Here is a 17,218-nt window from a genome sequence, read left to right on the forward strand (position 1 = left end):
TGGGGGGGGCTGGCGGGGAGGGAGGGGGGTGGCTGTGAGGGGAGGGTAGAGAGGGGTTGAGTTCGTAGACTCCCACACACTTCGCGCTCGGGTCCCTGCCTCTCAGCAGCGCCGCCGCCTCCCAGCGCCGATGCTTCAGCCGGCGGGGCGGCTGAGGGGTGAGGGGGAACTCCGCGGGCGGGGGCGAGGGAGCGTGTGTGCGCGAGCGTGTGCGCGCGCGAGGGGAGCGCGTGCGCGGTGAGGACGCGCGCCGGCGGTTGGGGCGGGGGCGGGGGCCGGGGCGCTCCTGTGGGAAGGGAGGGGTGAAAGGTCGCTGGTCCCCGGCAACACGGCTCAGGCAAACGTAAGCGGCTTGTCGCAGAAACCAAGGGGTCCACGAAACGCGCTAGGCTAGAAGGCGGGAAGGAGAGATTACTGACAGCCGTGCCAGCCAATAAAATAGAAATGTGAGAAAGGTTCTTCGGGCCCCTTCCCAATCAGGAAACTTGGGTGATGAGGGGCAGCGAAGGGGTGGGGTGGGATCTTGGTCCAGCTGGTACTGGAGCGGCGACAATTTTGGCTAGTCTAAGAAGGGCATTCGAGTGACCGTTGACAACGGGTGGGACAGCGTCAGAGCTGGAGGGAGAGCCAGCACTGTATGCTTCCAGGACTTCTTGCTAGGTGCATTAGTTTTTATTTTTAAGAGTTGGGTAAAAGACATTAATTAGTTAGCATCTCACTCATCGGCGATTTTCTACGGTATGATTTCATCCAAAGAGGATTTCTTAATCGCACTGTGTGACACCGTTAGGGGACTTAGAGTGTCACTCGCCGCCTTAAATCCTTTCGGGAACAAGCCAGGATATAAATAAATAAAGCTAGGTGTGGGTCTTCCCTTCACAAGGCGCTGGTAGGCAGACTAAAGACAGGCAACAGCTGAGTGTGCACACAGAACTAAATATTGAACGAAATACGAGTGTCGGAATAAAATTCATTGCCATGTGCACGGCTTATGATTATACAGATCTTGGACATATCACGGACCTGAACGTCAACCCTGCAACACCGGATAAAACATCTAATGTAGCTGGAATAGACTCTGAAAGGACGTTAGGCATTATCTAAATCAAGTCCCTCATTTTACAGATGAGTAAACTGACTCAGTGAAGTATTTTGCTCAAGGTCGTTCATCAAATTAGTAGTTTAATTAACTCAGTGTTCTAGGAAGCAGGGTAGTAGAAAAGCATGGGATTCGGAGTCTGAAATCTTCCTTGGTTTCTGGTCCTTGTAGGCTGTTTTACAAGTGTATCTTGGGCAAATCCCTTAACGTCTTGCCATTTATTAAGGGCTTACTTACCACGTGGCAAACAATCCACTTTGCATGCTGTGTCAATTACATGCAGTATGTCGTGTAGTTATTACTGTCCCCATTTTATGAGGTAGTTTAGGTTTAAAGATATTAGAAATTTACCCAAAGTTACGCAGTTATAAACATTGTAGTAATTTCAAACTCAGGTCTTCGTGACTGCAAAGGCTGCTGTCTTAAGTATTGTAATACATTAGAGCTCCGGATTCCCTCCCACTCAAAACAGAGACTGAGACTCCAACCAATTTCCACCATTATTGGGAGTCAAACGAGAGAGACTGTGGCAATGTATTCTAAGCTGTACAAAGGTATAAACATATTCACTAGATTTGTAGAATGAAGTTATTCCTTCCCTATACTTTCCACTACAACAATTCAGCCAAAAAGATGGCTTTCATACTAAGCATAAGAAGGAACTTCACTGTAATTATGATATTCTAACCAAGAATATATGCATATCTAGGCAATAACCAAAGTGAATAGAATAAAATTTAATTCCTGATAGATTAAATAGGCAATAGCAAGGAATGCTAACGCTCCTCATAGCGTTCTTGTTGGAAGAATCATCTAGGAGGCATTGGGATTTCTGGTGCTTTTTAAGCAATGAGAGATATCAGTCCACTGAATGAGGAAGAGAATAACGTTTAGTTTCGGACTAAAAGTTCATCTGGACTACGGAAAACACGTTTGCCTCAATCAGTGAAGAAGGTATGCTGAGAGCTGAAAGAAAAGGAAAGCAGGTAAGTTAGTGCATATTGGAAAAGGTCTATTAACCAAAGTCCAAAATTTTGATCCGATGTGTAATGTTATGGGAAACCACTATATAGCCTTCATGACCAAAATAAAGAGGAATTAAACATACAATTGGGTACAAATGGAGCTGTGATGAGGAAAAAAGGTTTGGAATAAGTATGTGGTATTCAAGATAGTAAAAGGCTGATGCCAGACGTTGTACAAAGTGTTCAGTGTACAAAATTATGTAAGGACGTTTTTAAATGAAAAATTACAAAAGGGCTGGTATTTGGCACTAGATTGTTTTAAAACAGTAAACAACAGTGGACAAAGATATTTGAAGGACAGATAACTCAAACATATTACACTAAAGCTCGAGCAAAGTATTCAGTAGAATGTAATTTTGAATTGGAGAAAGACTGAGGTTAGAATTGGAAAACCTTAGTTTAACAAATTTCTAAAAATAAAATATATCTAACATAGTTTAGAAAATATTTGGCATTGCCATGCATCAGTTAAGTTGAAAAAGAGCTTGTAAGTTAAATTGCTTTACAGATACATGCTATTAAATAAAAGTCACACTGTATTCTTATAGTATTTATTTGACCCTTCTCTGATTTCTTTCTTCAGACTTAATATTTAAATACTATTATACCTATCACTCCATGGGGCCCAGAAATGGTAGATATAATTTTTAATGTGGATGGGATGCTGAATGGTAACTTAGGTATGATATGCCAGGAATCACAGAGACTATCCCAAGACCTAGTCAGACATCAAAGTATCAGTCAGCTACGAACTATTAATAATCTGGACAATGAAGATTATCAGAGAATACATTCTAATTAAGCTTCCATTTTTTAGTATATTTTGTTGTTTTTTTAAAAAAAATTATACTTCTACATCATTCTTATTGCATATCCCTATAATTCTGATTAAATGGACATCACAAACATTTTACCCTTCGTTTTCTGCATTTTGTATCAGCTAATAAAGCTGAATAACTAAAAATGTACAGTAGATCTCAGTTTATTAATATTTGGTATGATATACCTTTTATGCTACAAATAAACTGTTAGAATATACTTTTTAAAAATATAATAGAAGCGTTTGACCTTTTCTCCAAAAAGAAATACAATTTTATTTTTTAATTAACAAAGCAATTCAGCTCTACTAATTTAATAATATTTATAACACCTTAAGACACCATAGAACTTGTGTTAGTTATAAGCAACTATGATAGAAAATGATATTAATATGAATAAAAAAATCCCTGTTCTTTATTGTCTTTTATTGAGAGAGTTTTCTTCCTGTTTCAGGCTAAGTAATATAGACATAAGATTTTCTATTTTCAGTAACAATGATTGGCTTTCAAGACAAAGGACAGATAGTTGATATCCACAGATATCCCTAAACTCACTTTGTCTCCATTCTCTTGCTTTTCCTACAATCGATCCTGTTACTCAAAACATAATACAAAACATAAATACTCCCACTACTTGAATGTCTCTTGAACGCTTTGGGAAAACATTTTCTGAATTTGTGTCTCACCAGAAGCAGACCCTGATTTAAAGATTCAAGTGCAAGCAATGTATTTTGGAAATAATTTCAGGAAGCACAGTAGGACATGGGAAGTGAGGCAGGGAAGGGAAGGAAAGCAAAAAAAAAAAAAAAAAAAGTGTAAATTGCCAAGCAAGTTGTCATTGTTTTTAATCTCACTGTGATTTTCTTGGAGCCAGTTTAAAACACTAGCCCTAGAACTATCCCACTGGAAGTGTGAGAAAGCTGAGGTATATATGTACTAGCTCCCTTCAGCCATTGGTCAAGATCTATTCCTAGTGGCATTAACTCAATTCATGCTGGCCAGTCTTCAACTGCCAGCACTGCATCTTTTTCTGAGCACTTTCTCTGGTCACTGGAGTCTGCGCTGCCCTTACACAGGCTGGAAACAGTGGGGCATTAATACCTCCTGGTGTCAGAACATCCCCACGGTGACGGAAAATCAGGCCAGTGGGCCCTAAAATGATAGAGCACAGACATATGAGTGAGGCTCTACCAGTTCGTTACAAGTATCAACCTAAATTTAGGGGAAAAGAAAATGAGAAGACTGTTAATAGAAGGTATTGTTGGGAATTAAATAGTAAGGATAATGAAATAATTTGGAAAGCTTGAAGTACTGAAAAAAGAAGGCTTTATAATTTCTATAATTCAAATACTGTAACCAAGCACTGAGTGTAAAAAGCCTGAATAATTTGTTTTCTCTGGGCTCTTCACAAACAAATTTTTAATTTTTTAAGGTATAAGTCATGAAGAATCAATGTATGTATTCTGATTTTGTTGTTGTTATTGTTTTGTTGTTGCTGTTCAATGTAGCACAAAGAAAATAGGAGCAAATATATACCAAAAGATACATGACCTATCCCAATTCTTTTATAACAAGTTCTATAAATAGACGTATTGATTAGAAATACTTTTCTAAGATTTCACTAATAGAAAAATTATTTATTGTACTTTACCTTGTCAAAAATTAAACAGTTTTCATGTTTCTCTACTTAATAATAAATTCACTATTGGTGGATATGTTTATAAAAGTATGAAAGCTCACACTAATTTATATAGAGAGATAAATGTGTTCTATACTATTTCAAAGTCCCCAAATCTTAATATTCCAATTGTAAATATGTCATCCTAATAGATATGTTAGGATTAGAAAGAATACTAAATTCTTTGGCACTGAATATGCTTCCTTGGTTTCTAATGGATCATTAATTTTTCTAGCACTTTTTCTAAATATTATGAAATGTATCATTTCGTACTTTACACACTTGACTTAAAGGCAATAAATCTGAACTAAGACTACACAGTGCAATAAAAAAGAACTTCATAATAATTGTATAATGGTTATGTAAACATTAGGGGAAGCTGGGTGAAGGGTACAGGAGAACTTCTACTATATTTGCAACTCCTCTTTAAGTCTAAAATTATTTCAAAATAGTTAAAAAAGGAACCTTGAATTGATGATCTGGTTATGACTCTTCCACGCACTAACTTTGTGACTTACAGTAGCTTAACTTCTCTGAATTTTAATTTTCCCATCCATATAATAGGAGACTTGATAGATGCTCTGTAAGTTCCTTTTTCTTGAAAAAAAATAGTATATTTTCTACCATTTGTAGAATCTGACAAAGAATATTATCAAAATCAATGTACATAATATGTACCTTACCAGGTATTTTTAAATGAGTTAGCAGTACACATTTTGATGATGTACCGTTAGGCACAATGAAAAATAAATACAAAGGAAAACAAGATTAATGTAAAGAATATATTCAACATACTTACTCTCTGTATTTTTGCATTTTAAAAACAATAATACTTATTAAAATCTACAGTTGAAAATACATTTTCTTGGAACCACAGTTCAAAATGTGATAGTTGCATCTTTTAAAACATTCGGATGTGAAAAATTTCTGGAGTAAAACAATGAAAGATAAAGATGTTAAGATATAAAAGGAGAAGAAAAACGATCTTAAAAAAGAACTACAAAAGTAGACTAACAAAGCAATAACTGACTAGTATTTATATGTTTTGTCAACCAAGTTTTAAATCACTTGGACTGTATACCGTATATACTGTATTCTGATAAAGCCTAGGGTGACTCCAAGTCCAATTGCCCCCAAATGATCCTAGCTTAGGCCAGATGTCCCAGAACAATTGTTAATACCCTCAAAATTGTCCTAACTTAGATTATTATATGGTCACCCTAATAATACTCAAGAGCTATGACTTTTTGTTGTGGACCTTTCCATTTTAACCGTAAGATTTTGTGGATTCATAAGATTACTTGACGTTGCAATTCCTCTATGTGTAAATAATAGAAATATTTATCATAGTTCACTCTTATGCCATCATTGTGGTGTAATAAATTAGTACATTGTCACATCACCGTTTGTGATGTTCTTAGCTAGAGCTAAGTAAGGCCAGAGATCAAAAATAGACATAGGAATTGGTAGAATATAATTTTTTAAATGTATCTTTTCACATTTAAAGATGGAAACAATCATTTTTATAGGATAGCTCCTTCATTAAAAAATACTGTATATAGGAAAATGAAGTGAATTGAAGAAATAATAAATGAGATGTTATAAATATAATGAAATGCAGCTTCAAATGATAAATAGTAAACACACAGATGGCATCAGGGAATAGTTTGCATTATGGATTATTCAGATTTCTTATCTGTTTACTTCCTACTACTCAAATAAGCAACAGTATTTCTTGACTTCTGGATAAGCTTTTAATGCCTCTGGTCAAGGCTCCTTTCTAATGTAGTTTGCTATTTCCAGTGTTTATTACAGGTCAAATAATAAAAAGTTATAACAAGATTATTTGTGTTTATAAGTAAAATAACAAATTGGCATCCTTGTATATTAAAAAAATACATTACCATAAACCATTTGGATGTGAAAAACATTACCATAATCATTCCTAGATTTTGCCTTAATATTTAATCTTTTGGTTTCCCTATGTAGTCATAACCATGCTAAGTCGTGAGTGTGTAATTTACATCATATAATTCTAAATTATTGTATCCATGTATCATTTCATATAATTGAGAGCAAATTGAGCTTACTTATTAAAAAATACCATTTACATGTGGATGTATATGTGCATATATATATATACAGAGATTGTGTGTGTGTGTGTTTATTTGTATGATAGAATGAGGGAGACAAAAAGAAACTGAGTAGAGCTGTTCTAATTCTGTAGTAGCGGTAGAAAAAATACTAAAAAAAATAGTTTTTTTTTCATTTTACCTTCTCATTATAGAAAATGTGGAACATATTCAAAAAGAGATAAAATAGTATAATGAATCCCGGGTACTATATACCCACATTCAAAACTATCAACTGACCAATCAGGTTTCCTTTGTAACCCTTACCTCAGGATACTTTGAAGCAAATTCTGTCACATCATTTTTCTTCAAAAGTATTATAGACTTTTTAAGAAAACTAAAATATTAGATTGAAAATAATTAACAAAACTCCTTAATATCACCAAATATCTGATCTGTATTTAAATGTCCTTGATGGTCTTATAAAGTTATTTTACATTTTGTTCAAACCTCTCCCCTAATAAAATACATGTATTGCAACTGCCTGGTATGTCTCAAATCTTTTTAGGTATACATCAGTCAAGTTTCAACTAGAGAAATCAGAGAAATAAAACCAATAAGTATATACACATATTTTTAATTTTTATTGTTTAATATAGATAAATAGTAACAGAATAATAGTAAGGGAACTGGACTACACAATTGTGGGCACTGACTAAGCAAGCTCAGTGTCAGGAAGATAGAGGGGGAATGGAGAGCAATTGCAGGCCCAAATGTGCTTGGAGTCTCCACTTTCAGGAGGAACTAGTCACTTTGGTAACTAACCTCTTAAATACCTCCTTCCAGGTACTTAAGAAAACTTTCACAGTTTGTCCAGAATTTGACTGAGGAGCTGATATAGTTAGCCTTTGTGTCTCCACCAAAATCTCATCTTGCATTGTAATTCCCATAATCCCATAATCCCATAATCCCCATGTGTCAAGGGAGAGACCAGGTGGAGGCAATTGAATAATGAGGGCTGTTTCTCCCATGCCATTCTTGTGACTGTGAGTTCTCACGAGATCTGATGGTTTTATAAGGGGCTCTTCTAGCCTTCACTCAGCACTTCTTCCTGCTGCCTTGTGAAGAAGGTGCCTTGCTTCCCCTTCACCTACCACCGTGATTGTAAGTTTCTTGAGGCCTCCCCAACTATGCTGAACTGTGAGTCAACTAAACCTTTTTTCTTTATAAATTACCCAGTCTCGGGCAATTCAGTATAGCAGTATGAAAACAAACTAATACAGAAGCCATGACTTTATTTTGATAATTCTAGTCAAATTATCAAAATTTGTGTAGTCACTAGGCCTAGAATTTTCTACTTATAAAGGTCAAGTAAGAATTTAATATACTTCCTATCTCAGGAACATTAAACATATAGTTTTCATGTGAAAAGTTAAGTTTGGGTCTTTTCTATACCTTCCAAGAATCTACTTAATATGTTCAGTAAATCCTCCACCTTCTTGAGCTCATGGAAGACAGTTACAAAAAATTATTATCATTATTTATTGAATCTGCCATGTGTCATTTCTGGTATCATTTTGGCTATCTGCTTTTTCTCTTTAACATGGATCAAATTGTCCTGCTTTTCTGCATGTAATTTTTTATGAGATACCTGTTGTTGTGAATTTTATCTTGTTAAATGCTGGATGTTTTTGTGTTCCTATAAATACTCTTGAGCTTTCTCAAGGGATGTGGTTCTTTAGAAAGTGGAATTTTGGGGTCTTCTAAGCTTTATTAGGTGGGACCAGATCACCATTTAGTAATGGGCTAATTTTGCTGTGTAACTGAGGGAATATCCTCTGAGTACTACAGCTGATGCATAATGAATTATGAGGTTTTCAACAATGTGGGTGGTGGGAACAAGAACAATTCCCAGAGCTGTGTGAGCACCAGGTGCTGTTACCTCTAATCCTTAAGTAGTTTTCTCCAGTGCATGTGCTGATTAGTACTTAGCTGAAGACTCAAAGGGACTCTTTCACATTTCCAAAGTTTTATTTCTGTGGAGCTCTTTTCTCTCAGTACATTGCCACCCTGTGTATTCTAGCCATCCTCTTTGGTATTTCCCTAAAAAGTTAAACATAGAATTCCCATATGACTCAGCAATTCCACTCCTAGATATACACACGAAAGAATTAAAAGCAGATTTCCAAACAAATACTTTTACATAAATTCATATAACAGCATTACAATAGCCCAAAAGTGGAAACAACCAAAATCTCCATCAACTAATGAGGGAATAAGCAAAATGTGATAGTCATCCAATGCGAAATCATTGAACCATAAAGAGGACTTAAGAACTTATGCATGCTACAACATGAATGAAGCTCAAAAACAGTATGTTAAGTGAAAGAAGTCAGATTCAAAAGGTCACATAGTACATGATTCCATTAACATGAAACGTACAGAATAGATAAATCCATAAAGACAGAAAGACTGTTTCTAGAGGCTTGAGGAAATGGTAAATGGGAAATGACTGCTTAATGGATTTGAGTCTTCTTTTTGGAGTGATGCACATGCCTTAGAACTAGATACAGGTGATAGTTACACAGCATTGTGGATGTAAAAAGTACCAATGAATTGTGGTATACCATAAAAAGGTTAATGGCTAATTTCGTGTTATCTGAATTTTACCTCAGTAAAAAAAATGTAACTCCCTCCGATACTCTGCACCATCTTTCCAGAATCCTCTAATTATTCTCTACAAAGAGATTATACTGTGATACAAGTATTTAGCACAAGCCCTATGTTTATAAAGGTTACACCCAATGTAAAACACATAATTTATGAAAGAAAATATGAATAATTTTCCTTAAATAATATTTTGACAAGAATTAAAAGCTAAACAGAAGCATTTTGTGTGTGTATGTGTGTGTAGTATTCTTTCTTCTATCATTGTAGAATGGCCAGATAAATACAATAAATACGTCTTCATTGAACATAAAGTATATATCCTCGTGATGCATTAATAATGCATTTGTGGAAATTCTTGAAAGATTATTTCTTCACTCATTTCATATTTGAAGAAGAAGGCTAAATTAGGGAGGTGTCAGAAAGATAAAGATGAGAAGCAGTATTATATACCATTACCATTTTGTAGAAAAGCCTTTGTAGCATGAGGTAGTAGAGTGTAGTGATTAAGTATACACCCTCAAATCAGATTACCTGGGTTTGTGTATTGTCCTCTTACCTACCATGTGACCTTGGACAAGCTGTCCACCCTTTGTGGCTCAGTTTATTCACCTGTAAAATCAGAATAATGTCACCTGCCTTTGCTACAGAAAATAAGTACTCTATCAAAATTTATACTTCCCCTTGCACAGTGTAATGTTATTTTTGAAGGATGGCTGTGTGGCCAGGCACTAAGTTTCTGAGCTTCCCATGCATTCAGGTATGACCACGTGACTATTTCTCACTAAGAGAGTGAAAGTTGAATTGCTGTATACCACTAAAGGCTCATGGTTTTCAAGAAATTATAGTGCCTTCTTCATAATATTTTCCCCTTCCATCAATCAGCTGGAAGTGGTGAACAATAAGGCTACTAGTCCCTGAACCATAATATGAAAGAAAGCTGCCTATGACCAAAAATGCCTTCACTGGACTAGTATGTGAAGCAGGGAGGGGGTAACATCTACTATGTTACACTACTAGAATTTCGGGGGCCGTTTGGTATAGCAGTAGGCATAATCCTAATATTATATATTAGGGTTATGAAGATCAAATGGATTAATGTAATAGTGCTTGCTTATAACTGAGCTTGGCATATTTTAAGTGTTTGCTAAATGTTAGCTATGATATTCTCTTTTTATTGTGACAAAATGTGAATATCATAAAATCTGCCATTTTAACCACTTTTAAGTGTACAATTCAGTGGCATTATTATATTCACAATGTTATGCAATCTTCACCACTCTGTATTTCCAGAACCTTTTATCACCTCAAATAAAAATCTCTGCCCTTTAAGTTATAACTCCTCATTCTCCCTTCATGCAGACAAATTTGCCAATTCTAGATATTTCATCCAAGTGGAATCGTCCGATATTTGCAAATTTGTGCCTTGTTTATTTCAGTTAGCATGATGTTTGCAAGGTTCATCCATGTTGTAGCATATGTAAGAACTTTGTTTCTCATTATGGCTGAATAACATTCCATCATAGGTAATATCACATTTTGGTTTAACTATTTATGTATGTTGATGAACACTTGAGTTGTTTCAACCTTTTAGACATTGTGAATAATATTACAGGGAACATTGGTATGCAAACATCTTTGTAAATGCCTATTTTCAATTTGGGGGGATATATACATACTCAGTGGAATTGCTGGGTCATATGGTAATCCTATGTTTAACTTTTTGAAGAACAAACTGTTTTACGCAGAAGCAGCATCATTTTACATTCCTATCAACAATGTACAAGAATTCCAATTTCTGTCCGTCCATCATTAACACTTCTTTTTGTTTTGTTTTTGTTTTTATAACTATACCAGTAGGTGTGTAGTGGGATCCCTATGGATTTTGATTTTTATTTCCTTAGTCACTAATGATGTTAAGCATTTTAAAATGTGTTTATGTGTTGATTGGCCATTTGTATATTTTCATTGAAAAATATCTTTTCAAGTTATTTGCCCATTTTTAAATTGGGCTTTTGACTTTTTGTTGTTCAGATGTGAGTATTCTTTACTTATTCTGAATACTAGTGCCCTGTTGGATATAGGATTTGCAAATACTTTCTCCCAATTTAAATGTCTTTTCATTTTCTTGATGATGTCCTTTGATATATAAAAGTTATTAATTTTAATAAAGTCCAACTTATTTTTCTTTTGTTTTTCTTTTCATATCACATCTAAGATTCCATTGCCAAATTTAATGTCATGAAGATTTACCCCTATATCTTTCTAAGAGTTTTATGATTTTAGATCTTATAGTTAGGTCGTTGATTTATTTTGAGTTAATTTTTGTATATGGTATGAGGCAGAGATCCAATTTCATTATTTGCATGTGGAAATCCAGTTGTTCCAGTACAATGTTAACTATTCTTATGAGTTATGGAAGGTATCAGAGTCCAGTATACAGTAGTTATAACTTCCTAGTGACTTGAATATCAGCATACTCTATTTCTTTTATTTTCCTTTTTTTTTCTTCTTTCTTTGCTCTTTTAGCATACTCTTTCTAAATGAAGATTTAGAAAAGGTTTTTGTTGGTACTAATGGAGGAAGACAAAAAATGGAGAATAAAGATGAGGAAAGAAATGATAAGATTCTCTTTTATCTTGAAAAAGTCATTTATGACTATATTAACGGTATGTTCCAGAGCCTCCAAAAATTCCTGGGCACTCATAGTAGGATTCTGATATATAGTTTTATATGCAGTCTTTATGCCCTCTTCCCCAGAAGTCCTGCTACTCTACATAAGGGAAAAGCCTGGGATGACAAAGGATAAATATTTTAAGTGTTCCAGACTTTTCCATTCTACATTTTCACCTCTGTGCTCTATTAGCTCTTTCTAAAATGCAAAGCCAAAATGAAAGTTACTCCCACCATGCTAAACTACACAACAACTAAAATTTCTCTTACGCCTTGCCTTTGGTCTAACAAAACATTTTGCCTCCTAAACTAAGGAAAGATAAGAATTTTAAAAATAGAACTTAGGTAGAAACTAACAAAAAATGGAAAGCATAGAAAAATTAAAGTTTAATCTCTTCCCTGTGTACTAACAACTAAAATGTATCCATGAATTGGCTTCGTTAATACATGTTTATGGAACACCAAGGCTTGCTTCCTATTTCTTACTTCAAATATGCCAAGGCAGCATGTTTATCCAAGTGTTGTTAGCTGGAGACAGACTTGGGATATCCCCACATCTAGGTAATAAGTTTCTCAGTTTTATTTGCAGATTTATTTCCAGCTCTCCCTCCTCAACCCCAGTTTCAATCTATATAGTTTTCATACTTTAAACCAATTATGTGAGTCATAGACATGGTCCTATATTCCCTCAACTAATCCCAAAGATTGCATATTTTGTTAGCACAACCCTTCATCACACCCCGATCCTATGATCTCTTTTTACCTCTCACCTACTTAGCTCATCCTTTGTCTGAATTATTTTTACTAATTGGTTGTGAAGTTAGTCCTACATGCTGGAAAAGACCAACATCTTAGCATTGCAACTAAAGAGCAGTGCTCTGGGTGTTTGTGGCTGAGCATATATTCAGCAAGTGCTGTTACCGAGGTGGATTTAACGAGCCTATCAGTAGACCAGTGCCCAACATATAGTAGAAGACTAGCCTCAATAACACCATCATGGAGCATAAGGAGTAATGGTAAAGACACAATTCCCATTAAGTAAAGACCAGCCCATATCCTCATCCTTATGTTCAATTTCTGAACAGGTACTAACTACAACTCCACTAGATCCTTGGATATCTCTAGGGAGAAAAAGAGTCCCCTTCATTAAATACAAAAAGTATAATTTTTTTACTACTCTAAAGAGAGGGAATTTGAAATATGATTTGAGGTTTTTTTAGAACATAAAGTATGCAACTTAGTATGTGGAGAAAATTCACACTGGCTACATTAATATCCAGTCCTGGTCTCTCAAGCAGCTCTGTGGTTCTGACAGAAAATGCCATAATTCCCTGCTGGAACCTGTCTGAATCCTGTCAGCTCTTCTGACAGCCAGAAGCAATGTTCTCATCTTTTACAGTTTCTAAAACCCTTTTTCTATTGAACTGCCCAGTAAATTCCTATTTCTCTGTCAATGAGAAATCTCTGAATTTCTCAGCTTATTTGCAAAGCAGAGATGAATGACAGATTCTGAGTTTAATTACTATTGAAGTTCAGGACACTAGTTCTGTCTACCACCACAAGCCTTTTTGAAATTCCCCAAATGCTCACAAACAGTACCCATCTAGAGCTCTTTTATTTTAGGTTAACAACTTGAAAAATGCTCTACCAACATATATAATAATAACCAAAATACTAGGAGATATCCAATGAAAATAAGGGCAAAGTTATTTCAGTAGACCTCATAGACCTAAATTAAAAAGTTATTTCTGTAGATCTCCCTTTTAAAGACTTCCTAGTAAAGTTCACTCAGGGATGTCTGTATCTGTACCAGTTGTATATATTTTAACATTCTCTATATCGTATATTTTCTAACATGGTCTTTCTGTATTTCAATCTTTTCATAACTCAATTTGGCGTATTAAATGCTATGTCTTAACTTTATGCTCTTTGCATTCTCAGCCCTTTTGTTGACTATCTGTGACATTGGACAAGCACTTCACCTTTTGGGACCTTATTCATCTACAATATAAAGGAGTTTATTAAACCATTTTGAGAATCCTTATAGTTCTGACTTTCTATAAGAGTAATTTGAAAATATAAAATATGAGTAAGAAGTCAAGGAAATTTTATCTCTCATTCTTTTCTGAGGATTTGAAGAGTTAAATTTAAATCTATTACTTTATGGGAGAATACTAACTTACAATAATATATTAATTTTAATATATTATTGATAGTCAATGAAAGAAGAATGAAGTGTATTGAAATAGATATTTCTCAAAAAATTTGTAAATACTTAAGTCACTCACACATGACGTGTGATGCTGGATTCTTTATGTAGATTTAGATATTGAATATATTCTTTCATAATGCAGACAAATATTATGTCCCTGTGATACATATAAAATGAAATTATTTGAAATAATTGCAAGCCAGAATCAATTATATAGAGGCCAAAATGTATCATTCTGTTGATCCAAATTGTTTTGCCAAGGCAATTTTGAGGTAGAAGCAATTTTGAGGGAGTTTGATTTATACAATTGATAGGTTAAAGGCTGGCTGCCTTGTTTTATTTTACCAGCACTGTCTCCATTTTGAGCTAACATTTCAGCATAGGTAGATTTTATGTTTAAAAAATATTGTTTTCAGTGCTCTTATGAAAAATCACATAATCTAGGAACTCTGGTTCCACATTCACATGTAGCAGTGCTTGGCCAAAGCTGAAAAGCAGCTGTCTGTTTAGTCAGGGCATAGGCTGTGGCCCTTGAACTGATTCCTACCACTCACACTTATAATGGGCTACTTCACTTATTATGTTGCCTACCTGCAATTTCAGTGAATATGTTTATCCCATTTGTTAGCACTGTTAATATTGAATGAAAATAAAATTTTCCTCTGGATTTATAAAAAAGGCTTTGGATTCCTTGTCACCCAAATTTAGCATCCTGTTTTAAAAGCGTGTTTATCAGAATTTGTACGTTTCTATAGCTTTTAGATCCTTAAGCTTTCTGAAGTGAGTAAATGTCAACCCTTGATTGGCATAATGTCCAAATAAAGACAAGGATAAGCATTGAGTTATATATTCTTCACAGAGAAAATACAGAAAAAAGTATTCCATTTAAATTTGAATACCAATTAAATGGAATATTTAATAAGCACCATTATTAATAGTTAAAATTCCTCAAATATTTCACCCTAACACTAAGAAAGCTATTTAGACATTCAAACACTGAAAATAAAAGCTAAATAAGATGGATGTGTTATGGCTTTAAGTGGAGCCCCTTTTTCATAAAAATAAGTTATAAAATCCTTTTTTTTTTTTCCTTAGAGATGGAGTCTTGCCCTGGCCCCCAGGCTAGAGTGCAATCATTATCATAGCTCATTGCAGCTTCAGCCTCCCAATTAGCTAGGACTATAGGTGTGCTACCACACCCAGCTAATTTTCTTTTAATTTTATAGAGATGGAATCTCACTATGTTGCCCAGGCTGGTCTCAAACTTTGAGCCTCAAGTGATCCTCTTGCCTGGCCCTCCCAAAGTGCTGGGATTACAGGTGTGAGCCACTGCATCCTGCTTTTAACATGTTAAAATGATGTTTATGTCATACACTCTTAACATGACTTTGGAATGATCAAAGAATTTTTACACAAAACTCAAAAATTTAAGTCCAATGTGTGCAGAATCCCAGAGGCTCTTCTGCAAAGTACTAGGAAGTCACACATAGTCGTTTAAAAACTATTGTTCAATTACTAACCAGCCGAAGATGAAAATACTTAGAAGATTAATAAACAGTTTACTTAAACTAGAGATTACTTTGCTGTTTGTTCCCTCCCTTCTTAAAATATATTTAATTCTGAAAGAGATATATGGAACCATTGAAGCCGGAAATTATCTTGATGCCTCAGCCATATTTGTGCTCTTTCCACCATGAAGTCTCAGGTGAATGATAGGGTAGAAAATAATATGTTTTGTCCATGGCAGCTGCTGTAGGACAAGGAAATAAAGATCTCTACCTTAAAGTAGAGATTTCAAGCTTTCTGGAGTTGCATTACCTAAAAATTGCAAAATATCTTTTTTATTATTTTATTTTTTTAGAGAAAAGTTTTTGCTCTTTCACTCAGGCTGACTGGAGCAGTGGCACAGTCATGGCTCACTGGAGCCTTGAATTCTGGGGCTCAAGTGGTCCTCCCACTTCAGCTTCCCGAGTAGTGGGGACCACAGGCATACCACCATACTTGGTTAATATATTTTCCTTTTTTTTTTTTTTTTTTTTTTTGGTAGAGATGGTGTCTCACTGTGGTGCCCAGCCTGGTTTCAAACTCCTGGCCTCAATTGATCATTCTGGGCCTCCAAAAATGCTGAAATCACCAAAATATCTTTTATTTGATTTCATAAAACATATTATCCAGCCTCTGGGATAGGATACTTGGCACAGACATTTAATTTTCTGAGTTTCATCGTTCTGTTTTATTTTGTTTTGAGAATTTGGTGGAGATGCTGGAGATCATGAAAAATATTGAGATGTTCCCAACCAGATGTGCAAAATTTTACCTTATGGTATCTTACAATGTTCTTTCTTGCATCTTAATTCTGATAAAAATGTCATCAAAAATGAACATTGGTCTGGCCAGTAAATATAGTTCAGATAGATTGAGTGCTTCCACAGAAAACATACTAGACATTTAAATGTATTTCCACATTAGATTATAAAATCCAAGGTACCAGAGCTTGTATCTGGCTAGGTCATCATTTCATTTCATTTCTCAACATAATACATGGCCAGAATATATGTCTGAAAAAATATTTGTTAAATGAATCCCTACTACTTTTTAATGACCTATTAATTGCATCCTTAATATGTAAGAATTCAGAAGCTTTCAGATATACATTCACTGTAATTAAGACAGATGCAAACTACTCAGGAAGTGTCAAATATGCAAAGTTTACTTTACAGTGAAGCCAGCTATATCATGATGTGTAGCCCTTATTTTACTATTTTTAGATCAGTGTTTCTCAATATCTTCAAATTAAATGTACCCAAATCACCATATTTGCTGAACTAATAGTTGTAGTACCCTTTAGTATGTTGTTTAATAGTCCATGTAGAATAAGCAATTATTTTCAGACAGGTGCTATACTTTTGTAGACAAAACAGAATGAAATTTTAAAATATTTTTCAAGTAGTGGAATTACTACGTAATATATGAA

The 17,218-nt window shown here is 34.9% G+C and overlaps 1 long non-coding RNA gene across 1 annotated transcript in view; it reads left to right on the forward strand.

Annotated features, from left to right (window-relative positions):
• The first annotated feature begins 544 nt into the window (after positions 1 to 544).
• Positions 545 to 17,218, forward strand: part of NOVA1-DT (NOVA1 divergent transcript) — a 207,821-nt gene continuing 191,147 nt past the window's right edge. The window contains exon 1 of the long non-coding RNA NR_147061.1: positions 545 to 2,085. This is a non-coding gene — a long non-coding RNA (NOVA1 divergent transcript). The remainder of the gene's footprint in view (positions 2,086 to 17,218) is intronic.

The sequence above is a fragment of the Homo sapiens genome, chromosome 14 (assembly GCF_000001405.40).
Source record: "Homo sapiens chromosome 14, GRCh38.p14 Primary Assembly".
NCBI classification, from domain to species: Eukaryota; Metazoa; Chordata; class Mammalia; order Primates; family Hominidae; genus Homo; species Homo sapiens.